The sequence below is a fragment of the Homo sapiens genome, chromosome 12 (assembly GCF_000001405.40).
Source record: "Homo sapiens chromosome 12, GRCh38.p14 Primary Assembly".
NCBI classification, from domain to species: domain Eukaryota; kingdom Metazoa; phylum Chordata; class Mammalia; order Primates; family Hominidae; genus Homo; species Homo sapiens.
In genome coordinates, this window is record NC_000012.12 from 103,432,887 (window position 1) to 103,459,659 (window position 26,773).

The following is a 26,773-nucleotide window of genomic DNA, read 5'->3' on the forward strand; positions in this document are numbered from 1 at the left end:
TCCAAAACTATGAGAAAATAAATGTCTGTTGTTTAAGCCATCCAGTCTGTGGTATTTTTTATGGCAGCACAAGAAAACTAATACACTATACAAAATAGATTAAAACCATAAAGAAAAAGCAACCCGAAGCACAGGACTCCCAGTGAAATATAAACTTGCTTTACATTTCACACTATACAGTAATTGTTAACTTACTCCTCTGTATTATCCAGGCCATAGCTTCCCAACAGTAGGATATAGATACATTTGCGGTTGTGTCCGAGCACCTAGCACAATTCCTGGCCCTGAATAAATATTCATTACATAATAAAACCACAAGAAATTCTTTCTCCTTCCTTTCCTGTGTTTTACTGTAACCAAATAGTTGATGAAAAAACGTTTTTCTTTATACAAATACTGTAGCTAATAAATTGCAGAAGGAATGATAAAATGCAAAAATGGAGCTAGCACAATTATTAATGAATTATGAATGAGGAATTCACAAGGAAAGCATCATGGTGACACCATCTGAACTCATTGTTCAACCTCAGGACATATAAAAGGGGAAGAGGTAGATATTATGTGCCTCATAATATGATGCAACAAGAAGGATATAGCAACATCTCTAAAGTACAATTTCCTAACAATTGTACCAGTATCTAATTGAATCTGTAGATCTAACTACCCATTTGTAAAATGACAGGGAATAGAAGAACAAGTTAAAGACACAGCAAAATCCAGGAAGTGGGAGGGACATTTACAAAGAAATGACCTATTTTCTCTAACAAAAGAGTGGTATGGGTTGAAGGAACCCATTGTTATAAAACAAATGTGAACTTAAGACACATAACAATATATGCAGAATGTGCAACTTGTTCAGATTGTGACTCAATTTTACCAAGTGCAAAAATGAAATGTTTGAGACAATCTTGGAAACAGAAATATGAACTAAATTGTATTGATGAATGACTTAATTTTGCTTGGCATAATAATAGCATGGCCAATATATGGAAACAGAGATGTAAATTTAGATATGGATATAAATAGCCTTACCAGCTAATAATGCATCCTGAAGAATTTGTGAATAAAATGGCATGATGTTCGAGAATTTCTATAAGAGTTTTAAAACTAACTTGGTTCTCCTGAATGCTCTACCAAACATGGCAGGTTTTGTTTTATTTTTTTAAAATGAAGACATTGGTCACCCAATTCTCTTGGTTAAGAGGCTTGCCAAGGTCATTCAGTCAGGAAATGGCAAGACCAGCTTCTTGAAACTCCTACTCTGACTCTTAGAGCCAAGATGGCTACACCAGCTACAGAGCTTCTTTCCCCAACAGCTCCTCTAACCTCTTAGAACTGAGTTGCATTGTCCCTGACTAGATCATGAGCCATCTCTAAACCAAACCCAGGGATAATCTGAGTGGCTAGCCCTGGGTCACATGCCTGCCCTTGATGACGGAGCTGCACTCTGTTCTACCCAAATTATATAAACTCACAGATTATTTTAAAAGCCTCACAGTGAAGGGGAGGAGCCAAGATGGCCGAATAGGAACAGCTCCGGTCTACAGCTCCCAGCGTGAGGGACGCAGAGGACGGGTGATTTCTGCATTTCCATTTGAGGTACCGGGTTCATCTCACTAGGGAGTGCCAGACAGTGGGTGCAGGTCAGTGGGTGCGCGTACCATGCACGAGCCGAAGCAGGGCGAGGCATTGCCTCACCTGGGAAGCACAAGGGGTCAGGGAGTTCCCTTTCCGAGTCAAAGAAAGGGGTGACTGACGCACCTGGAAAATCGGGTCACTCCCACCCGAATATTGCGCTTTTCGGACCGGCTTAAAAAACACCGCACCACGAGATTATATGCCGCACCTGGCTTGGAGGGTCCTACGCCCACGGACTCTTGCTGATTGCTAGCACAGCAGTCTGAGATCAAACTGCAAGGCGGCAGCGAGGCTGGGGGAGGGGCGACTGCCGTTGCCCAGGCTTGCTTAGGTAAACAAAGCAGCCGGGAAGCTCGAACTGGGTGGAGCCCACCACAGCTCAAGGAGGCCTGCCTGCCTCTGCAGGCTCCACCTCGGGGGGCAGGGCACAGACAAACAAAAAGACAGCAGTAACCTCTGCAGACTTAAATGTCCCTGTCTGACAGCTTTGAAGAGAGCAGTGGTTCTCCCAGCACGCAGCTGGAGATCTGAGAACAGGCAGACTGCCTCCTCAAGTGGGTCCCTGACCCCTGACCCCCGAGCAGCCTAACTGGGAGGCACCCCCCAGCAGAGGCACACTGACACCTCACACAGCAGGGTATTCCAACAGACCTGCAGCTGAGGGTCCTGTCTGTTAGAAGGAAAACTAACAAACAGAAAGGACATCCACACCAAAAACCCATCTGTACATCACCATCATCAAAGACCAAAAGTAGATAAAACCACAAAGATGGGGAAAAAACAGAACAGAAAAACCGGAAATTCTAAAACGCAGAGTGCCTCTCCTCCTCCAAAGGAACGCAGTTCCTCACCAGCAACGGAACAAAGCTGGATGGAGAATGACTTTGATGAGCTGAGAGAAGAAGGCTTCAGACGATCAAATTACTCTGAGCTATGGGAGGACATCCAAACCAAAGGCAAAGAAGTTGAAAACTTTGAAAAAAATTTAGAATAATGTATAACTAGAATAACCAATACAGAGAAGTGCTTAAAGGAGGTGATGGAGCTGAAAACCAAGGCTCGAGAACTACATGAAGAATGCAAAAGCCTCAGGAGCCGATGCGATCAACTGGAAGAAAGGGTATCAGCAATGGAAGATGAAATGAATGAAATGAAGCGAGAAGGGAAGTTTAGAGAAAAAAGAATAAAAAGAAATGAGCAAAGCCTCCAAGAAATATGGGACTATGTGAAAAGACCAAATCTACGTCTGATTGGTGTACCCGAAAGTGATGGGGAGAATGGAACCAAGTTGGAAAACACTCTGAAGGATATTATCCAGGAGAACTTCCCCAATCTAGCAAGGCAGGCCAACGTTCAGATTCAGGAAATACAGAGAACGCCACAAAGATACTCCTCGAGAAGAGCAACTCCAAGACACATAATTGTCAGATTCACCAAAGTTGAAATGAAGGAAAAAATGTTAAGGGCAGCCAGAGAGAAAGGTCGGGATATCCTCAAAGGGAAGCCCATCAGACTAACAGCGGATCTCTCGGCAGAAACCCTACAAGCCAGAAGAGAGTGGTGGCAATTATTCAACATTCTTAAAGAAAAGAATTTTCAACCCAGAATTTCATATCCAGCCAAACTAAGCTTCATAAGTGAAGGAGAAATAAAATACTTTACAGACAAGCAAATGCTGAGAGATTTTGTCACCACCAGGCCTGCCCTAAAAGAGCTCCTGAAGGAAGCGCTAAACATGGAAAGGAACAACCGGTACCAGGCGCTGCAAAATCATGCCAAAATGTAAAGACCATCGAGACTAGGAAGAAACTACATCAACTAACAAGCAAAATCACTAGCTAACATCATAATGACAGGATCAAATTCACACATAAAAATATTAACTTTAAATGTAAATGGACTAAATGCTCCAATTAAAAGACACAGACTGGCAAATTGGATAAAGAGTCAAGACCCATCAATGTGCTGTATTCAGGAAACCCATCTCACGTGCAGAGACACACATAGGCTCAAAATAAAAGGATGGAGGAAGATCTACCAAGCAAATGGAAAACAAAAAAAGGCAGGGGTTGCAATCCTAGTCTCTGATAAAACAGACTTTAAACCAACAAAGATCAAAAGAGACAAAGAAGGCCATTACATAATGGTAAAGGGATCAATTTAACAAGAAGAGCTAACTATCCTAAATATATATGCACCCAATACAGGAGCACCCAGATTCATAAAGCAAGTCCTACAAAGTGACCTACAAAGAGACTTAGACTCCCACACATTAATAATGGGAGACTTTAACACCCCACTGTCAACATTAGACAGATCAATGAGACAGAAAGTCAACAAGGATACCCAGGAATTGAACTCAGCTCTGCACCAAGCAGACCTAATAGACATCTACAGAACTCTCCACCCCAAATCAACAGAATATACATTTTTTTCAGCACCACACCACACCTATTCCAAAATTGACCACATACTTGGAAGTAAAGCTCTCCTCAGCAAATGTAAAAGAACAGAGATTATAACAAACTATCTCTCAGACCACAGTGCAATCAAACTAGAACTCAGGATTAAGAATCTCGCTCAAAACCGCTCAACTACATGGAAACTGAACAACCTGCTCCTGAATGACTACTGGATACATAATGAAATGAAGGCAGAAATAAAGATGTTCTTTGAAACCAGCGAGAACAAAGACACAACATACCAGAATCTCTGGGATGCATTCAAAGCAGTGTGTAGAGGGAAATTTATAGCACTAAATGCCACAAGAGAAAGCAGGAAAGATCCAAAATTGACACCCTAACATCACAATTAAAAGAACTAAAAAAGCAAGCGCAAACACATTCAAAAGCTAGCAGAAGGCAAGAAATAACTAAAATCAGAGCAGAACTGAAGGAAATAGAGACACAAAAAACCCTTCAAAAAATTAATGAATCCAGGAGCTGGTTTTTTGAAAGGATCAATAAAATTGATAGACCGCTAGCAAGGCTAATAAAGAAAAAAAGAGAGAAGAATCAAATAGACACAATAAAAAATGATAAAGGGGATATCACCACCGATCCCACAGAAATACAAACTACCATCAGAGAATACTACAAACACCTCTATGCAAATAAACTAGAAAATCTAGAAGAAATGCATAAATTCCTCGACACATACACTCTCCCAAAACTAAACCAGGAAGAAGTTGAATCTCTGAATAGACCAATAACAGGATCTGAAATTGAGACAATAATTAATAGCCTACCAACCAAAAAAAAAGTCCAGACCAGATGGATTCACAGCCAAATTCTACCAGAGGTACAAAGAGGAGCTGGTACCATTCCTTCTGAAACTATTCCAATCAATAGAAAAAGAGGGAATCCTCCCTAATTCATTTTATGAGGCCAGCATCATCCTGATACCAAAGCCTGGCAGAGACACAACAAAAAAAGAGAATTTTAGACCAATATCCCTGATGAGCATCGATGCAAAAATCCTCAATAAAATACTGGCAAACCGAATCCAGCAGCACATCAAAAAGCTTATCCACCAAGATCAAGCGGGCTTCATCCCTGGGATGCAAGGCTGGTTCAACATCTGCAAATCAATAAATGTAATCCAGCATATAAACAGAACCAAAGACAAAAACCACATGATTATCTCAATAGATGCAGAAAAGGCCTGTGACAAAATTCAACAACCCTTCATGCTAAAAACTCTCAATAAATTAGATATTGATAGGACATATCTCAAAATAATAAGAGCTATTTATGACAAACCCACAGCCAATATCATACTGAATGGGCAAAAACTGGAAGCATTCCCTTTGAAAACTGGCACAAAACAGGGATGCCCTCTCTCACCACTCCTATTCAACACAGTGTTGGAAGTTCTGGCCAGGGCAATCAGGCAGGAGAAAGAAATAAAGGGTATTCAATTAGGAAAAGAGGAAGTCAAATTGTCCCTGTTTGCAGATGACATGATTGTGTATCTGGAAAACCTCATTGTCTCAGCCCAAAATCTCCTTAAGCTGATAAGCAACTTCAGCAAAGTCTCAGGATACAAAATCAATGTACAAAAATCACAAGCATTCTTATACACCAACAACAGACAAACAGAGAGCCAAATCATGAGTGAACTCCCATTCACAGTTGCTTCAAAGAGAATAAAATACCTAGGAATCCAACTTACAAGGGATGTGAAGGACCTCTTCAAGGAGAACTACAAACCACTGCTCAAGGAAATCAAAGAGGATACAAACAAATGGAAGAACATTCCATGCTCATGGGTAGGAAGAATCAATATCGTGAAAATGGCCATACCACCCAAGGTAATTTACAGATTCAATGCCATCCCCATCAAGCTACCAATGACTTTCTTCACAGAATTGGAAAAAACTACTTTAAAGTTCATATGGAACCAAAAAAGAGCCCGCATCGCCAAGGCAATCATAAGGCAAAAGAACAAAGCTGGAGGCATCACACTACCTGACTTCAAACTATACTACAAGGCTACAGTAACCAAAACAGCATGGTACTGGTACCAAAACAGAGATATAGATCAATGGAACAGAACAGAGCCCTCAGAAATAATGCAGCATATCTACAACTATCTGATCTTTGACAAACCTGAGAAAAACAAGAAATGGGGAAAGGATTCCCTATTTAATAAATGGTGCTGGGAAAACTGGCTAGCCATATGTAGAAAGCTGAAACTGGATCCCTTCCTTACACCTTATACAAAAATCAATTCAAGATGGATTAAAGACTTAAACGTTAGACATAAAACCATAAAACCCTAGAAGAAAACCTAGGCATTACCATTCAGGACATAGGCATGGGCAAGGACTTCATGTCCGAAACACCAAAAGCAATGGCAACAAAAGACAAAATTGACAAATGGGATCTAATTAAACTAAAGAGCTTCTGCACAGCAAAAGAAACTACCATCAGAGTGAACAGGCACCCTACAAAATGGGAGAAAATTTTCGCAACCTACTCATCTGACAAAGAGCTAATATCCAGAATCTACAATGAACTCCAACAAATTTACAAGAAAAAAACAAACAACCCCATCAAAAAGTGGGCGAAGGACATGAACAGACACTTCTCAAAAGAAGACATTTATGCAGCCAAAAAACACATGAAAAAATGCTCATCATCACTGGCCATCAGAGAAATGCAAATCAAAACCAGAATGAGATACCATCTCACACCAGTTAGAGTGGCAATCATTAAAAAGTCAGGAAACAACAGATGCTGGAGAGGATGTGGAGAAATAGGAACACTTTTACACTGTTGGTGGGACTGTAAACTAGTTCAACCATTGTGGAAGTCAGTGTGGCGATTCCTCAGGGATCTAAAACTAGAAATACCATTTGACCCAGCCATCCCATTACTGGGTATATACCCAAAGGACTATAAATCATGCTGCTATAAAGACACATGCACACGTATGTTTATTGTGGCATTATTCACAATAGCAAAGACTTGGAACCAACCCAAATGTCCAATAATGATAGACTGGATTAAGAAAATGTGGCACATATACACCATGGAATACTATGCAGCCATAAAAAATGATGAGTTCATGTCCTTTGTAGGGACATGGATGAAATTGGAAATCATCATTCTCAGTAAACTATCGCAAGAACAAAAAACCAAACACTGCATATTCTCACTCATAGGTGGGAACTGAACAATGAGATCACATGGACACAGGAAGAGGAATATCACACGCTGGGGACTGTGGTGGGGTCGGGGGAGGGGGGAGGGATAGCATTGGGAGATATACCTAATGCTAGATGACGAGTTAGTGGGTGCAGCACACCAGCATGGCACATGTATACATATGTAACTAACCTGCACAATGTGCACATGTACGCTAAAACTTAAAGTATAATAAAAAAATAAAATAAAATAAAATAAATAAATAAAAGCCTCACAGATACCAAAAAAAAAAAAAAAAAAAAAAGAAACTCCTACTCTGGTGCAAGTGGGTACTTCACCATAGACCCCTAACTTCAAGAAAGCAAAATAGACGCATAAATTTTAAATTAACATTTGTTATTATGCAAATAGTCTTGTTGAGTGTTTTATGTGCACTACAAATCCATGAGATATGTGCTTTTAGACCCATTTTGCAGATAAACCAGAACTCAAAGATGTTATGTGATTTGTCAAGAGTGGCACAGAATTAAAACCCAGATTGGCCTAACTCCATTTCAAATGAGGTACAACACCACACCGTGGCTCCCCTCTTGGAGAATTACAATGTACAGTAGCTTAGGCCAAGTTCTACAGTGAAAAAAAAAGTGTTTAAATTCCTTCACCAATCATTTCTCAACCTCTGACCATGGAACCTTTCTTTTACACTTAGCATCTATTAAGTTTGCATATAACCACAGAGTACACAAGAATTGCTTCAAGCTAATAATGGGTGAAATCTTACTATATTTCTGCTATGTTTGAATTTGGGAATATTAACACATGCCATAATTATTTTTAAAAAATAAACTACTTTTCATTTACCTAGCAAACAGTTAACTACCTATGGCCAGCATCATTTTTAATTGATAAGCACCAACTTTACTCTGTCAAAAAGCAAATATTGTTTCCTCCCTAGTTGGACTCCTAAGTATTATATTTTCCAAACAGCCCATGAGGTTTGAGGCACCCTTCCCCAACCCAAGCATATTAGAAAGTTTATTTCCTAGACTACTGGACAGAGAAGGGGGAGGAAATTTACATTTTACCAAATAATCTCATGATTTAATGCCACTGGTAATACTAATACAAGTTCAAGCCTTTTGGCCAAATTTTGCAAAAATGGTTGAAATATTTTTTTCCTGTCGATATAAAACCTTCAAACTGAAACTGATCATTAAAAGGAAAACTAAGTAACAATTTCAAACTGGCCTATTTTAAGAAATGCCTTCCTCACATAACCAAAAATTTCTCACCTCTTCCTGCCCACCATGGGTATTTTTCCACTCATTTCTGAACTCGGATATCTCTGTGGATCTGACACACAGGAGCAGCAGCCTCCAAGGCAATGAGCAGCACCTAATGGAGTCAGGTTTGAATGACTGAAGCCCACAAAGGGAGAGTCCTCAAAAGCAGCAGTGGTGAGCTGAGGACTGGGGACAATAGAAAGCAAGCTGTCTTCAAGATGTGCAGAACAACATCCTTTCTCTCTCAGGTCTGGCATCATATTCAGATGAGCAAATGTGAAAACAGGAAATGTGTTCTCAAATGACAGAAACTTCTCTTGAGAAAAGGGGAAGTGTGAATCCAGTTTAAAGAAAACTCAATCATTAAAGACAAATTATTTTCTCTTAGAAATCAAAAATCTAGCCCCAGCATGGTGGCTCATCTCTGTAATCCCAACATTTTGGGAAGTCAAGGCTGAAGTACAGATTGAGGCCAGGCATTCAAGACCAGCCTGGTCAACATAGTGAGACCTCATCTCTACAAAAAAATTTAAAAATTAGCTAGGCTTGGTGGTGTGCACCTGTAGTCCCAGCTACTCAGGAGGCTGAAGTGGGAGGATCACTTGAGCCCAGGAGTTTAAAGTTACAGTGAGCTATGATCACACCACTGCACTCCAGCCTGAGTGGCAGAGAAAGGCTCCATCTCAAAAATAAATAAGTAAATAAAGTCTGAAATTCCACATTATGAAATCTGACATACATACATTTCTCTAGATATTTATAATGAGATAATGTCAGCAACTAACCATAACTAATGTTCATGCATGGCTGTTATTTCTTCACAAAAGCAAGGAGCGATACGATTGATGATCTCACATCTACTTTTTGATCTCACAATCTTACGGGGATGACAGTTCTGTGAACAATGACGTTTGCATGCACTGGACAGCACAGATGTGCAAGTCAACAACAGGTTGCTGGTTTGGGTACCTAAGATCTTCGCAGGCTGAAGACAAGGAGGCTTCCCTTGCAAAGCCCTATCATTGACATTCCAACCTCACAAATGGGGCCTTAGCCTATTCTATCATTGCACCTTCCTGCTGCAATCTAAATCAGCACTCCATTCTGCCAGTTCCCTGTACATCCTGGCATAGCCTCTTTTATTCCCATCCTGATATACACTGCATTATCATTTTTCAACAAATCACCAAATCTCAGGGCTTTATGATCAGAACAATGTAGATAATAAAACTCTTAAATTAACAAATAATACATTAAGCGCTTTCTATGTGTCAGACACTGCACTACATGCTTTCCATGTATCATACATAGATCTTTTTAAAAAGAAAAGAGTAAATGAATGAAAGAATATATGTATTAAAGAGTAAAAAAAATTAATTTTTCAAACTGTTTAAAAGGGAAATAACCTTGGAAATTATACATTCTCAATCATTCATTCAACAAATATTTATTTTATTTAATGCCTATTAGACACTAGGTTTTGCCCTACATTCTGAGAACTAAGTAGTAAACACGGCAGGTGCTCTAAGCAGCTTACAGTCAAATGGAGAAAGTTACCACATGGAAGACGGGAAAAAAAGGAACTGAAGTCTTGAGTTTCAGGCTAGTAAGGAGGTGCATGGCTAGTAACTTCTATATATTAGAATAAACTGAAATCAAACAGCACAAGTTTCATCTTTTCAAACACCTACACAGAGAATGTTAATTATTGCTGAATATTTTGTCAAGATAATTTTATTGCTTTTCTACGACTAACAAGTGCCAGAAATTTTATGTTGTAGAGAAGAACAACAAAGGCAGAAGAGGAAACTGATACAGAATGAGCCCTCAACCAGTGGCCCAGAACTCTGCCAGATATTTTTATGTTCATTATCTTGGTCAATATCCAGTGACCTTCTAAGCCTGATGTTTCCTCCATGTTGCAAATAAGGAAAATTAGTGCACTCTAGAGTTTAGGTAACTTTTCTGAGACAATCTGCTAGTGGGTGGCAGAGATGAGATTAAATCCCAGGACTCTCACTCCAAACTCCCCATTGGAGACTATTGTGAATGGAAGAGCACAAGCCTCATCTAACCCTCAGCAATTCTGATTTTTGCCATGCCAAAAATATAAATTTTTAGGTGAAATCTCTTCATTTTTTCAATTAGCAATAATTCAAAAAATTAAAAATTCTCTGCAGGTCAAACAAAACATATCTGTAATTAAATGTTGAAGTCATTCATTTGAAACCTCTGCTTGGCAGTGTTTTTCTCCACTGAGTTTAGCCAGCTGAGCAGGGTTGGCACATACCATAAAGGGTAGAAAAAGGCTGTGCAAGAAGTCATGTTGAGTTGAGATCAGACATAAGCTTATTTTCTTCAAGGCATAGAAAGAGAAAGAGACTAAGCACTTTATAGATGATATCAAATTGGATGGGTGACACTAAGTCCTCGAAACGTAAAACTGAAATTTTAATTAGCTATTTCCAGATTTCATGTTGCACATTTTTTTAACATTTTAATGTTTCTAAAACCTGTATTTATCATCAATGTCAAATAAAAATTCTTTACCTGTGCCATTTGTCTCCTTTTCTTTGGTTATATATGCCAAAGTTTTATTTTATTGTTTTTTACAAAAATTAATTTTTGGTTTTATGGATCAACTTTGCTGTTTGTTACCCATTTTAATAATTTATGTTATCTTTACTAATTATAATTATTAATGCCAACTTTGTTATTAATTTGCTAGCTTCTTAAGTTGAAAGCTTAGTTCATTTTTATACTATTTGTTGTTTCTAAATAAAATACATGTAAAGGTCTACATTTTTCCCTGAGCCCCACGTGGGATTCATGGGTTTCACAGGTTCTAATACAAAGGGCTTTCTTCTGTTATTTTTTAGTTCTTAGTTTGTAACTTCTAAATAAAAATTTAAAGTAAAATTAGAAGCATTTTAAACATCATTTATTGTATAATTCTGTCATCAATGTGGCTTATATAATACCGACTTTTTGAAATGCATTAAAATATCCTTTCTGTCTAGTATGAGTTAACTTGGTAAAACTTTTCAAGCATATTTTTAAATAATGTTATTCTCCATTTGTATTTGTATTTGCACACAGTCACATGTGTAAGTATGTACCTGCAAATTGTGTTAGTTCTATCTTCTGTGGCCATACTCATGTTTGTCTAATTGATTCATTTGTTTCTGAAAGATGTGTCTTGAAAACTTAACTAGAATTTGAATTAGTTTCTCCATATAAGATTGTACATATACTTGCACAAATAAGCAAGTTCTCTTCTTCTTTATAAGTTTTTGATGTATACATCAAAGTTATGTTGACTGTCATACCTTCTTTAGTAATTAATCCTTTTATCAATATCATATTTCCCCTTTCTTCTTTTCTTTAAATGTCTTTTGCATTGAAATCTATTTTACCTTAAATTAATATTGCTATACAAGCTTTGATATATTTCTTCTACTTCTTAAATATATTTTTGATATTTTAAATATAAAATACTTGATTATAAAAAAGAACATACGTAGATATCCATAAGTAATAAACCATAAACATAAACATACATGAACCCACAATCCAAAGTATAAAAAAACTGTTACGAATCATGTTGATACTTCCTGTGTACTGCTTGCCAATCTGTACTCATCCCCCATACCGTCTCTCAGGGGTAGACGCTATGTGAGTTTGTTCCTTATCATTCTCTTCTCCCTCAACCTGTGGGATCTGACACTGTCTCCAGGTAGATGATGTCAGAATTGAATTGGAGGAAACCCAGCTGGTGTCCACTGCAGAACTGATTGCTTGTTTGTTGGTGGGGAAAAATCCCACGTTTTGTCTGTGTTGATTGTTGTGGTGTGAGAGCAGAGGAAAAACAGTTTTTTCAACTCAATACCATATAATATCAAATTGTTTCTCCAACTAGTTGTACAAATTTGTACTGGTTCTAATTGTTCCATGTCCTCACCAACATTCCATTTACTCTTTTTTGGGTTTTTGGGGGGTTTTTGGTGTGCCTGCTGCTATCTCATTTTGAATTTAATTTGCATTTCCTTGATTTACTAATGAGAACAAGTATCTTCACTTGCTGACTGGCCATCAGCATAGGTTATTCTGTAAAATGCTTGTGCAAGTCCTTTCTCATTTTCCTGTTGTGGTTTGCTTTTTTTATAAAGAGTTATTTATGTGCCCTAGATATTCTTTCTGGATTATATGTATTGCAAATACTCTCTCCCATTTGGAGCTTTCCCATTATTTTGTTTTCCTTATGATGCTTAAACGAATGGAATCAATTCTTTAAGTACTATACTTATCAAGACCTTTCTTTATAGTTAGTACTCTTTGGGTCTTGTTTTTGAAAATCTTCCCTCATTTAAGGTCATGAAGATGTTCTTCTATATTGTCTTTTATAAATGTTAGAGATTTGTCATTTTTATTTAAGTCTCTTATTGCTCTTGAATTGGTTTTTGTATATGGCAAGAGGCGAAAGTCAACTTCCTTTTTTTCAATGGGATAGCACCATTTACAGATAAGTCCATAGTTTCATCACCAATCTATGGTAATGGTAATAGTACTAATAACAATAACAATAGCAGCTAACTTTATACACTGTTTACTACATGCCAGTCACAGTTCTAAGCAATTTACATATTATGCCAGCTCTCTAATATGATTTGGTATAAAGAAAAACCTATCAGAGCAACAGCATATTTCTCAGCAGAAACCCTACGAGCTAGAAGGGATTGGGGTCCTATTTTTAGCCTCCTTAAACAAAGCAATTATCAGCAAAGAATTTTGAATCCAGTGAAACTAAGCTTCATAAATGAAAAAAAGATACAGTCTTCCAGACAAACAAATGCTGAGAGAATTCACCAATAACAAACCAGCACTACAAACCACTAAAAGGAACTCTAAATCTCGAAACAAATCCTTGAAATACACCAAAATAGAACCTCCTTAAAGCATAAATCTCACAGGACCTATATAACAATAACACAATTTTAAAAAAGGTATTCAGGCAACAAATAGCATAATGAATAGAATAGTACCTCACATCTCAATACTTACATTGAATGTAAATAGCCTAAATGCTCCACTTAAAAGATATGGAATGGAAGAAGTGATAAGATTTCATCAACCAAGTTTCTGCTGTCTTCAGGAGACTCAACTAAAACATAAGGACTCACATAAACTTAAGGTAAAGGGGTGGAGAAAGATATCCATGCAAATGGACACCAAAAGTGAGCAGAAGTGGTTATTCTTATATCAGAAAAAAACAGACTTTAAAGCAACAACAGTTTAAAAAGACAAAGAGGGACATTATACAATGATAAAAGGACTAGTCCAACAGGAAAATATCACAATCCTAAATACATATGCACGTAACATTGGAGTTCCTAAATTTATAAAACAATTACTACTAGGCCTAAGAAATGAGATAGATGGCAACACAACAATAGTGGGAGACTTTAATACTCCATTGACAGCATTAGACATGTCATCAAGACAGAAAGTCAACAAAGAAACAATGGACTTAAACTATACCCTAGAACAAATGGACTTAACAGATATTTGCAGAACATTCTATGCAACAACTGCAGAATATACATTCTGGTCATCAGCACATGGAACATTCTCCAAGATAGACCATGTGATAGGGCACAAAAAAGTCTCAGTAAATTTAAGAAAATCAAAATTATATAGAGTACTCTCTCAGACCACAGTGGAATAAAATTGGAAATCAACTCCAAAAGGAATCCTCAAAATCATGCTAATGCATGGAAATTAAATAACCTGCTCCTGAATGATCACTGGGTCAACAATGAAATCAAGATGGAAGGTAAGGTAATAAAAGCCATCTATGACAAACCCACAGCCAACATTATACTGAATGAGGAAAAATTGAAAGCATTTCCCCTGAGAATCGGAACAAGACAAGGATTGTCCACTCACCACTTCTATTCAACATAGTACTAGAAGTCCTAGCCAGAGAAATCAGACAACAAAAAGAAATCGAGGGCATCCAAACTGGTAAAAAGGAAGTCAAACTGTCACTGTTTGCTGATGATATAATCATACACCTAGAAAATCCTAAAGAACCATCCAAAAAGCTCTTAAAACTGGCAAATGAATTCAGCAAAATTTCAGAATACAAAATTCATGTACACAAATGAGTAGCTCTGCTATACACCAACAGTGACCAAGCTGAGAATCAAATCAAGAACTCAACCCCTTTTACAACAGCTGCAAAAAAAATAATAAAATGCTTAGGAATATACCTAATCAAGGAGGTGAAAGACCTGTATAAGGAAAACTACAAAACGCTGCTGAAAAAATCATAGATGACACCAACAAATGGGAGCACATCCCATGCTCATGGATGAGTAGAATCAATATTGTGAAAACGACCATACTGCCAAAAGCAATCACAAATTCAATGCAATTCCCATCAAAATACTACCATCATTCTTCACAGAACTAGAAAAAAACAATATTATAATTCATGTGGAACCAAAAAAGAGCCCACATAGACAAAGCAAGACTAAGCAAAAAGGACAAATCTGGAGGCATCACATTACCCAACGTCAAACTATACTATAATGCCACAGTCACCAAAACAGCATGACTGGTATAAAAATAGGCACACAGACCAATGGAACAGAATAGAAAACCCAGAGATAAAGCCAAATGCTTATAGCCAACTGACCTTCAACAAAGCAAACAAAAACATGAAGTCGGGAAAGGATACCCTATTCAACAAATGGTGCTGGGATAATTGGCAAGCCACATATAGAAGAATGAAACTGGATCCCCACCTCTTACCTTATACAAAAATCAACTCAAGATGGGTCAAAGACTTAAATCTAAGACCTGAAACCATAAAGATTCTAGAAGACAACATTGGAAAAATCCTTCTAGACATTGGCTTAGACAAAGACTTCATGACCAAGAACGCAAAAGCAAATGCAACAAAAACAAAGATAAATACATGGGGCTTAAACTAAAAAGCTTCTGCAGAGCAAAAGAAATAATCAGCAGAGTTAAGAGAAAACCCACAGAGTGAGAGAAAATCTTCACAATCCATACATGTGACAAAGGACTAATATCCAGAATCTACAAAGAACTCAAATAAATCAGCAAGAAAACACGATCTCATCAAAATGTGGGATAACGACATGAACAGACAGTTCTCAAAAGAAGATATACAATTGGCCAACAAGCATATAGAAAAATGCTCAACATCACTAATTATCAGGGAAATGCAGATCAAAATCACAATGCGATACCACCTCACTCCTGCATGAATGGCCATAATGAAAAAATTAAAAAAAAAATAGATGTTGGTGTGGATGTGGTAAAAAGAGAACACTTTTACACTGTTGGTGGGAATGTAAACTATTAATAGTACAACCACAGTATACAACACAGTGTGGAGATTCCTTAAAGAACTAAAACTAGATCTACCATTTGATCCAGCAATCCCACTACTAGGTGCCTACCCAGAGGAAAATAAGTCATTATATGAAAAAGATACTTGCACACACATGTTTATAGCAGCACAATTTGCAATTGCAAAAATACAGAAGCAGCCCAAATGCCCATCAATCAATGAGTGGATAAAGAAAATATGATAGATAGATAGATAGATAGATAGATAGATAGATAGATAGATAGATAGACAGACACCATGGAATACTACGCAACCATAAAAAGGAAAAAAATAATGGCATTTGCAGAAACCTGGATGGAATCAGAGACTATTATTCTAAGTGAAGTAACTCAGGAATGGAAAAACCAAACATTGTATGTTCTCAATCATAATTGGGAGCTAAGCTATCAGGACACAAAGGCATAAGAATGATACAATGGACTTTGGGGACTTGGGGGGAAGGTTGGGAGAGGGGTGAGGGATAAAAGACTACACATAGAGTACAGTGTATACCACTTGTGTGATGGATGCACCAAAATCTCAGAAATCACCACTAAAGAACTTATTCATGTAACCAAACACCCCCTGTTCCCCAAAAACATATTGAAATAAAAAATAAATTTAAAAAATAGACATGATAACAATCACTTATTAAGCACTTGAAAAAAATAAGATAATAATATGTTTTGGTGTGTAATACCAGCTCTGTGAGATGTCAAGTTTCCATATTCATGGCTCTTTCTTCCATTCCATTGGGCTATTTCTCTATAATCGTGTTTTAATTGCTACCTATTTATAACAATTCTTGATATCTAATAAGGCAATTCTCCCTCCCCTAATTTATTTTTCTTCAGGAGTATCCTGGTCATTCCTGACTTTTTGTTCTCCCATCTAAACTTTAGAATTTTTTTCTAGTTCCATTTGAAAAAAAAAAAAAAGCATTCACTCAAGTGAAAATGCACGAACTCTAAAATTAATGGGAAGAATGACCATCTTTATAATAGTAAGTCTTCAAATATAAATATATTTTATTTTTTCTACTTTTTAAATTTTATTTAATGTATCTTAATATAAGGTTTTATAATTTTTGCATAAAAGTTATATCTTTTAATTTTTTAGGTTTTGTAAATGATATCTTGTATTATTGAATTTTCTGTTTCTTGCTGTTATATGAACTGGAATTAATTGTATATATTGATTAGGTATTTAGATTAAATATATTAGGTTTAGGTTTTCACCTTAGATTTAGATTTCTACCTTAATCTATTAGTGTGGTAAATGAATTGATTTCTTCATGTTAATCTGCCCTTGCATCCCTAAGATAAACTTAACATGATAGATTTGGTTTACTAGATTTGTGTTTAGGATTTTTGCATCAATGTCCACCAGTGAAATTGCCTATAACTTTCCTTTTCTGCACTGTCCTTTTAATTTTTGATATCAAGATTATGTACTAATTGATTTTCTAATGTTAATCTCCTCTTGCTTTACTGGGATAAACTTGGTGTTCTTGATTTATTTACTAATATTTTGGATCAGTATTTTCTATCAGTGTTCATGAAATTGTTCTATAACTTTTCTCTCATGTTTTCTTTCATTGGTTTTGATATCAAGATTATCCTTGCATGACAAATAATTTGAGGTGAAGGGGCAGTGCATCAGTTATCTATTGATGCATTCACAGCATTGTTCCACAGCAATTCTAAAATCTTACTGAGCAATTGTTGCCAGGTCAACCCCACGGTCTCCCCTAAGAAGGTGTCCTTAATTAGACTCCAGTTTTACTCTCCAGGAGTGGCTCCCAATCTGCTGTTCTTCATGGTTTTTTGCTCCACCCACTGGTTCTACCATGAATCTTGGCTCTGTCCTTTGAGATGTGATTCCTTTTTCATCACAGCCTAGGTTTCTTGAAATAAAAGTAGATTGCACTGGCAGCTGAGTAAGTTTCTCAGCCTGCTTTCAGTCCATAGAAAGTTGGGGGCCCAGAGGCCATTTTGGAATTTTACCAATCTCAGACTATTCAATTTCAGGTTGATAAAGCTTTTTTCATACAACTCACTTAAGAACTTCCTGGACCTTTTATACATCTGATTCCATTTAAATGTATTTGCTGAAAATTATACGCACAGTTGTTTTCAAGACATCTCCCTCTTCCTCTCTCTATATCATTGTCACTTTGGGTGTGTCAGACTGCTGTAGGACACCGCAATGCTGAGGTCTCAACAAATAGTTGAGCACAACTTCAAATTTATCTATGCCTCCAGGTTCCATTTTATTTTAAATACCATTTGCCAAATGGAGACAATATTTTCTATTTTCTTTTTCTTTTCTTTCATTTTATTTATTTATTTGTTTATTTATTTGAGACAGGGTCTCACTCTGTTGCCCAGGCTGGAGCGCAGAAGCACAATCATAGCTCACTACAGCCTCAACCTCCTAGCCTCAAGCAATGCTCCCACCTCAGCCTCCCAAGTAGCTGTGACCACAAGTGTGCCCACCTATTTTTTATTTTTTGTAGAGACAGGTCTGTCTACGTTCCCAAGGCTAGTCTTCTGCTCCTGGGTTCAAGGGATCCTAGCACCGCACCCTCCCAAAGTGCTGGAATAACAGGCATGAGCTGCTGCACCCAGCCCATTTTATTTTCTAACCCAGCCAATTCTGGTCTCTTTATGTGCCCTATAAATTATGCTTGCAAACTGGCCAGTTCTTTCTTAAACTCATGTATTTCTTGCCATAGCATATTATCTACAGTTTGGGGCAATCAGCTGACTCTCCAACATTCTGCCTGGAAACAAACTTAGCCAAACCCAAACATTTGTTGGGTCTATTTTCCCCTTAGGAAAGTTAATTCAGGCAATAGTATTGCCAGTTGCTTTATTACATAGCATATGTGACCCTTATCCAGCCTCCAATAACAATGTTATCACCACTTTTCCAGGTTTTGCAGCCAGTTTGCTTGCCATTTTCCCAGCCTCTGCTTGTAGCCCAGTTCCAAAACCAATATTACATACTTTAGGTTTTTGTTATAACAGCACTCAATTTCTAGGTACCAATTTTTCCATCAGGTGACTATGGCTATGTAACAAACCACCCTAAAACGCAATGACTTAAAACAATAAGCCTTTATTATTGCTCGGGAGTTCATGGGTCCACTGAGAATTTCTGTTGATTTAGGCCAGATGAAGCCAAACTTATCCAAGCTCACTGATAGGTCTGTGCTTAACAGATAAATCAGCTGAGGACCAGATCATCTAGGATGTCCTTACTCGCCTGACCAGCAGTTGTTTGGCTATGGGCTGAAGTGGCAGGGATGACTGGATTACAGGTTTTTCACATCTAATAGGCTAGCCTGGGGTTGTTTGCATGATGGTGTCAGGATTCCAAAAGCATGGAAGCATGAAAGAGCTCTGGAGGCACAGGCTGACCACTAGCACACCATCACTTCCACCACATTCTAATCACATAAAATCATAAATCACATAAAATCGTAAATCACATAAATCATAAAACTGAGTCAGATGCAAGAATTAAGGAAATAGATTCCACCTCTCGATAGGAGAAGCTACAAAGTCATATGGCAAATGGCATAGATTTAGGAAGGAATGAACAATTAGAAAAGGAAATATTTTCCACCCCATTACTGGGTATATACCCAAAGGGTTATAAATCATGCTACTATAAAGACACATGTACATGTATGTTTATTGCAGCACTATTCACAATAGCAAAGACTTGGAACCAACCCAAATGTCCATCAATGATAGACTGGATTAAGAAAATGTGGCACATATATACCATGGAATACTATGCAGCCATAAAAAAGGATGAGTTCATGTCCTTTGCAGGGACATGGATGAAGCTGGAAACCATCATTCTCAGCAAACTCTCACAAGGACAAAAAACCAAACACCAAATGTTCTCACTCATAGGTGGGAATTGAACAATGAGAACACTTGGACACAGGAAGAGGAACATCACACACTGGGGCCTGTCATGGGGTGGGGGGAGCGGGGAGGGATAGCATTAGGAGATATACCTAATGTAAATGACGAGTTAATGGGTGCAGCACACCAACATGGCACATGTATACATATGTAACAAACTTGCATGTCGTGCACATGTACCCTAGAACTTATAGTATATCAAAAAAAAAAAGAAAAGGAAATTTTTTTGCAATCAATTTGATAATTCTAAATTTTCTGGAGAAGTTTGCCTAGGACTAGAATAATCAATTCTCTCAATGCACAGTATAACTCTCCCATAAAAGAAGTGTTAACTCCCTGTTAATGGACTTATTAAAGCATTAATTTTATTTCTTTAATGACTATGCAGGTTTTCTATTTCTTCTTAGATTATTATTTATCTTATATAAAGGTTTATATAAAGTTATATTTATATAAGAGGTTTTTAACGTTATATTATTCTAGAATTTTTTCATTCTACCAGTTTTCAAATTTATTAACATAAAGTTTTAATACATCTTTGTCATACTCATCTCTGTGTCTGTAATTATGTCTTATTTTTCATTCATAATATTATTTGCTTGCACCTTCAGTCTTTCATTTATTCTTTCCTTGTTTCTATTTTTTATCAACTTTGGCAAAGTTTTTGTTGTTGTATTCATCTTTTCAAAAATCTAACTTTTGGTTTAATGAGCTTTTCTGTTTATTTTCTATGTCATTAATTTCTGCTCTTATCTTTATCTCTCCCTAATAACCTTTTGCTCCTTATTTCCCTAATAATATTAATTATATACGTTGTAAAGCCTTGCTGTCATGGCTTTATTCGCTGTTTCCTCGGATGTAAATTCTTCTAATATTCATTAAGCTTTTAAACTCCTCTTCTTGATTGCAATTTTTTTCCAATATTGAGTGACTTTTGATTTTTTCACTCAACTTAATAAATCAGATTTCCTGTTAAATTACTTTCTGTACTTGTTCCACACAATGGCTTATCTCTTAAACATATAGCTTCTTTCTTCTGTCTTGTTCACCACCTTGTCTCTCTAACAAAACTCCTTTACTCAACATAAGCACTTAGAGGCAGGACAGACCCAATAAAAAGAGAGAAAACACCAATTTTAAACACCTGGATAATTGTTACTGTGATATCTCATCTAACCACCCTACCATCAACCATGCACTCACCTTTTGTAGCCACAGTCCATCGTACAAGGTCCTGAGCTATAGTTTCCTTAATCTGATCCCATATGCTTTGCTTCTTTTTAGAATTCTTCCCTGCTCTGGTCCTCTATAATTTATTCTCCTTATTTTTGAAGATGGTTACATATTTATATTGTTTCTTAAATTTCTAGGCATTTATTTCAGGAGAGGAAGTCTATAGTTTGTGCTCAGTTCTTCTTAAAACACAAGCCACCACAGCTTTCCTAGGAATGCCAGAATTTCACTAAACTGGAGTTTCAACAGGACTTGAAAACCTCATTTCAGAATTAGAACAGGGAATACTAATCAAAATTCATGATAATAATCTTAAGTCATTAAGAAAGATGTTTTAAATCTTTCTTATATTCTACTGAAAAAGACAGGAAACTATGTAATACATCTTGGAAAGCATCCTATTTCTCTTTTTATTTGTGATATTTCCATCTTCCCTATTCCCACCAGCCAAAAATATATTCAAATTTCTGTATCCAAAAAAGACCTTATCTACTTTTTCCTCAGGTTTCTGTCACCAGTTCTTTCCTTCTTATCATCACCAGACTTCATAAGAGTTGCTGAAAGTTACTTCACAATTCTATCCCTAGCCCATTGGATGTTGGTTTCTGCTTCTACTGTCTTGCTGAAACTTGTCTTAAATGTCATCAAAAACTGCCCAGTTGCCAAAATCATCAGCTTGTTTCTTGGTTTATTTCATTCCATCTTTGTTTCCACTGATAATTCCTATCCAGTTAGGATTCATAGCTTTTCTTCTTTGTGTTCACAGCATGTCACAACAATCTTGAGACTTTGAACAGCACGTGTCTCACACTCCTGTATATATTTACCCAGCATTATATCTTACTAGGTAAGTGACTTTTAGCCAGTGCCTTCACCTTTTAGTTATTCACTTTCTATTCCCTAAATGAGGATACAATGAGTTACTTTACTTCATAGGTTTTCGTGAAGATTAAATGAGTTAACACATGTAAAGCAGTTAGCACAGCACTTGAATATAAGTTATTAGTAATAGTAGTAGCATACCTGATAACATGTAAGTCTTTCTACTATGTTACTACCTCTCAGAGGAAAGAACTCTGTCTTTCTCAACTTTAGAGCCTTCAGATTATATAGCAAAGTGGCTATATAGAGAGTCAATGTAAAAGGAAGCCATGGAGACTTCTATTCAAGATGATGCTGCAACTGAGGATGTGCTGCAATCTCCCACGCTTTCAAATGTTTGTTCAATTGAATTAATCTGAGATTTGTATAAAGTTTGTAAAGCCATGGCTCTTGTATTCCAGTTCTGGAGTGATGCTGTTTTTTAAAGAAGGGTGATAAAAGCAGAAATGTCTATCTTTATAACACTCTCCAAGTTTTAATGGGGCTGAAAAACGTGGTCCAAAGCAATGTTCATTAAAAATTTCATTCTCTGATCTCTTAGGTTTGTTTTGTTCTTCTACCTCAAATAAACTCTTATGCATCCTGGTTTGACATCACCATCTTGGTCACCACTTCCTCTCTGCTCCTCTCAACACTGCCCAAGAAGTCTTATCACTGTACCACAAGATCCCTGGGGGTGTGAGGTTCCTCTTCTACTTTCATCGATTTTACCTTAAGAATAAACTGATGCATCTTTTTGTCCTTTTCTCTTCTTAGAGAGCAGGAGAAGAAGAAACAAATGAACTTCTTTATTAATTTTTATGCTGCCAGGCTTAGAATAAGTATTTCTGAGATATATTAGAGATTTCTAAAACATTTGCTTGTTTTCTACTCAAAACAACCACTTATACAATATTCCTTTTTGCTCTACCAAGGATAAATTTCACTTACTAAGAATCTCAGGCCTACATATTCTTCCTGAGAATCAGATTCACCATGCACCAATTACTCTATCTCCTGCTTGAGTTCCATGACACAGAACTCTCACAGAACAAGTTAAGGGAAGCAACTTCATTACTCATACATAGGCAGCAGGGAACAATAGAAGCACAGGATTTACGGCAAGCTGATCCCCCAAGTCTCAGGAAAGTTTCTGAGGGTGGATGGAGTCTTGTCTGCAAATACCCCACATCTCACTGCAGCTAAGGAAACCTGAAAACCCAATACCTTGGGTTTTATATCCCGGGGCAATTGCACTCACTGGGCTAAAGCATTGTAGGTCATTCTGTGGTGGGAGGGACAGAAATGAAGCCCAACCAGTTCCTCTTTATCTCAGAATGTTGCATTTCCAGCACATTCTGCAGTTATTCTTGAGAACTGTAAGCAAGAAAGGGGGAAAAAGCTGGGTCACCAAGGTCCATCCAGAGACCTGTCCTGCACTTCCCTGTCTACTTCAGATGTTGTCACTTATGTCTCTAAAACAGAGCCCCTTAGAACATAAAGGCTTTTGACATAAGACATTTTCTGGAAGTAAAACTGGCTTCTCAAAATTTGTCAAAAGTCAATACAAAACCTTCTGTGCCTGCTTTAGTGTGCTAGAATTGCCACATTTGCTGCACCAGGAAAAGGAATCTTTTAACTCATTGTTTACCATTCTTATTATGAAAACAGCACATAGCACGCATGATAAAAGAATTATTAGCAAAATATAAAGTAAATTAACATTGAATATTTCCACTGATGTCTGCCTGTATATGTGGTACTGTCTATATACTTCCATGAAAATCAACTATTGCTTAAAGGTTGAGGCTTATATGTAGACCTTAGAAACTGCATTGTGGTTTTCCTCTTCCTTCTGAACCCATCTATCTTCTTTCTTTTGGAAATTCCCCACCAATTCAAGGGTATTTCTTATGTATTACTTTACTAAATCAAATTAATAAACAATCCAGGAAAATCCTTTATGCAGCCATTTGTTCTTTATGTTTTCTTTGTCTGATTTTTAAAATAATATAATCTGCTTTGAAATTTTCATCAGGATCATGAAGATTATTTGATCCAAACACTGTTCTGAAAATGCAATTTCTAAGAAGCTTAAATAACCCATGCATAATAGAGAGAAAAAAACCACCCGAATATGATGTTTCCTCTCCCTTTTGTGATCTTTCCTCAGTTCACAAATATATACTGAAGAACTACTCTGTTCACAGAACTTGGACTTTGTTACTTTGAAACACTGGAATTATTTATTTATTTATTTATTTTTCTACTTTCAATCTAAAGCATATGATGATAAGGGAATAGTTCTGAAAGTTTGTCATTTGAACTAAACATGAAGATATAACCGAATTTCTGTATCATTTTCCCAAGGGGGAAGAAAGTAGCTTTTAAGGCAGTTAGTAAAAGAAGCTACTGGCAGGGTATACACTGTGTTTCTCTTGGAAATTAACTTTTCTTTTTCCATGTTTATACCCCAAAAATTGCTAGTCTGCCCTTCCTCTGTGGCTTGAAAGTACAGAAAAGATGAAGCTAATAATGCCCTGTGTTTGTTCATCAGGGATGCTGTACATCCCTGTACACTGTATTCAGGAAGATGGTCCATCTCGCAGACCAATGTCTTACTGCTGTGTCAGCCAGGTCAGCTGAATGGGGATCTACATGTGTCTGTTTTTAAATTACATTTAGTTCCCATACTGTCAAAAACATCTAGTTAAGTTGCCTAAATAGCAACTTAACTTTCAAGCATTTGAATCAGTTGCCATGGTAACAGATGTTCAAAAACAGGGACCTACAATTTTGTATTAAACTGTTTTTCTCCACTTCCCACAAGTTTCACGTTTATATGCTCTGCCCTCCTGGCAGGGGGTGGGGGGAGTCAAAGCACAAGTAAAATTCAATCTTTCTTACCCCCTTTATATTCCAACCTTTTTAAAATTAAAAACTTCACATTGGACTAAAAAATGTGGCCATAACAGGATGTTATTTCATATAAGACCTGAAAATATTGAACTAATGGTCATCGTAACTGAGAAGGAGAGGAGAAAAAAAGCATTAGGCTCTGTTGCCTGTCCTCCAACTGCACTTCAGATAAAATTAAAACTACACAACTCCATTGACTGGTCATCTTGAAACAAAGAACAAAAGCTTAATCACATATCTAGACAGGGCAATTAAAGTCAAGACCACAGAAATCTAATTCTCCAAGCACATCCATGCATAATAACCACTTTTGGAAATGTAGTCTATACTGAAAAGACTCTGTGTCTGTATAGAATCTGCACTTTTTAATTATGAGACATTTCACATAAAGAAGACGTTGGGGGCAGGAACAAATCCAACAAACCAGAGAAGGAGAACTTACCCTCTCCACAGACTCTGAAACTAGGAGATTTGTATCTTTCTTTGTAGAAAAAAAAAAATAGTACTTTTCCAAGAATTCTCTGCAAGACTGCTCTCTGAAAAGGCATGTGGTGAAACAGAACAAGTATGATGAGTTATAGGATAGGCGAAACTAGATCAAATAGCAGCTCTGCGCTTACCCAGGGTGTGATGCTGGGCACCTTACTTACTGTCTCTGCATCGCATCCCCACTTTGAGATAAAAATATCTACCTGAAATGAATTTTCATTTAATAATCCAGTGAAATCCCATATGGAAAACATCCAGCTCAGCTAGATCTTAGTAAATGTTCATTCATTTTTGTTCTGTCATCCCCATCATGAATCCTTGTGTTTAAAAGCAAGAAGTTCTGTCTCCAGTGACTCTTGCAACTTGTCCAGTTTCTTGGATGGACCACAGGGGCCTGGGTAACCACACCTTTGCTATAATGCTATAAACTGCTCAAGGGCTAACACTCATGGTCTATCACTGAACTTCACCTAGTTGGGGAACTATACAGGTGACCACAGGATCTCTCACAATTTAGGAGAATTTGTCCCATTTTACAGTCACAAACAGAAAGACTAGAATAACAGAATGACCTCTGGGTTAGTTCAGATTCTCTGAGAAGTAGACACCAAGATGTATTAAATGTGCAAAAAAAAAAACGTATTAGGGGAAACATCTGTGGGAGATGTGAGAAAAGACAAATCTGACCCTGAGGGAAGGAGAGAGGAAAGGAAAGAAGAAAGGGTGTATGGAAGCTTCCTAGACTGGCATGCAGTCTAAGAAAATATCTACAACTTGAAGGAGTCCTCAAGCTAAAGTTGGCCATAAGAGGGATCCCGTATTTCCCAGGAAGGGCTCATCTCAGTCTCTCTGCCATACTTGGCCACGGGCTGAGAGCAGCCCTTGAGAAGCAAGGCCTCACCACAGATCTAAAAAGTGAATTATCATAGCTGCCACTGCTTTTTAATTAGTGATAGGGTTTGGATATTTGTCCCCTCCAAATCTCATGTTTAAATATAATCCCAGTGTTGCAAGTGGGGTCTTGTAGGACATGTTTAGATCATGGAAGTAAATCCCTCATGAATGGCTAAGTGCCATCCCCTTTGTGATGAGTGTATCCACCGGAGACCTGGTTGTTTTAAGTGTGTGGCACCTCCCCCTGCTCTTGCTCCCACTCTCACCATGTGAGATGACTGCTCCTGCTTCACCTCCTGCCATGATTGTAAGCTTCCTGAGGCCTTACCAGAAGCAGATGCTGGTGCCATGCTTCCTGTACACCCTTCAGAACACGAGCCAGTTAAACCTTTTTTCTTAATAAATTGCCCAGCCTCAAATATTTCTTCACAGAAATGC

At 37.3% G+C, this 26,773-nt stretch overlaps 1 protein-coding gene across 42 annotated transcripts in view, besides 1 other annotated feature; it reads right to left on the reverse strand.

The window, feature by feature from the left end:
• The window catches only part of C12orf42 (chromosome 12 open reading frame 42), a 516,167-nt gene that overhangs the window by 385,263 nt on the left and 104,131 nt on the right, over positions 1 to 26,773 (reverse strand). For 9 of the 42 annotated variants that reach the window (NR_170336.1, NR_170337.1, NR_170334.1 and 6 more), the window contains exon 1: positions 8,582 to 8,776. The exons of 32 other annotated variants lie outside the window; for them this stretch is intronic. The gene's annotated coding sequence lies outside the window, so the exon portion shown is untranslated. Of the gene's footprint in view, positions 1 to 8,581; positions 8,777 to 23,294; positions 23,411 to 26,773 lie in introns of those variants that run through there. One more of the 42 variants, XM_047428804.1, reaches the window with a different exon arrangement.
• Positions 1,679 to 2,379: an enhancer, noted in NCBI's record as "H3K27ac-H3K4me1 hESC enhancer chr12:103828343-103829043 (GRCh37/hg19 assembly coordinates)". NCBI's record gives its function as "activates a minimal SCP1, AML or CMV promoter by ChIP-STARR-seq in naive and primed H9 embryonic stem cells {active_cell/tissue: H9 hESC(naive and primed)}" and the evidence as "EXISTENCE:reporter gene assay evidence [ECO:0000049][PMID:30033119]".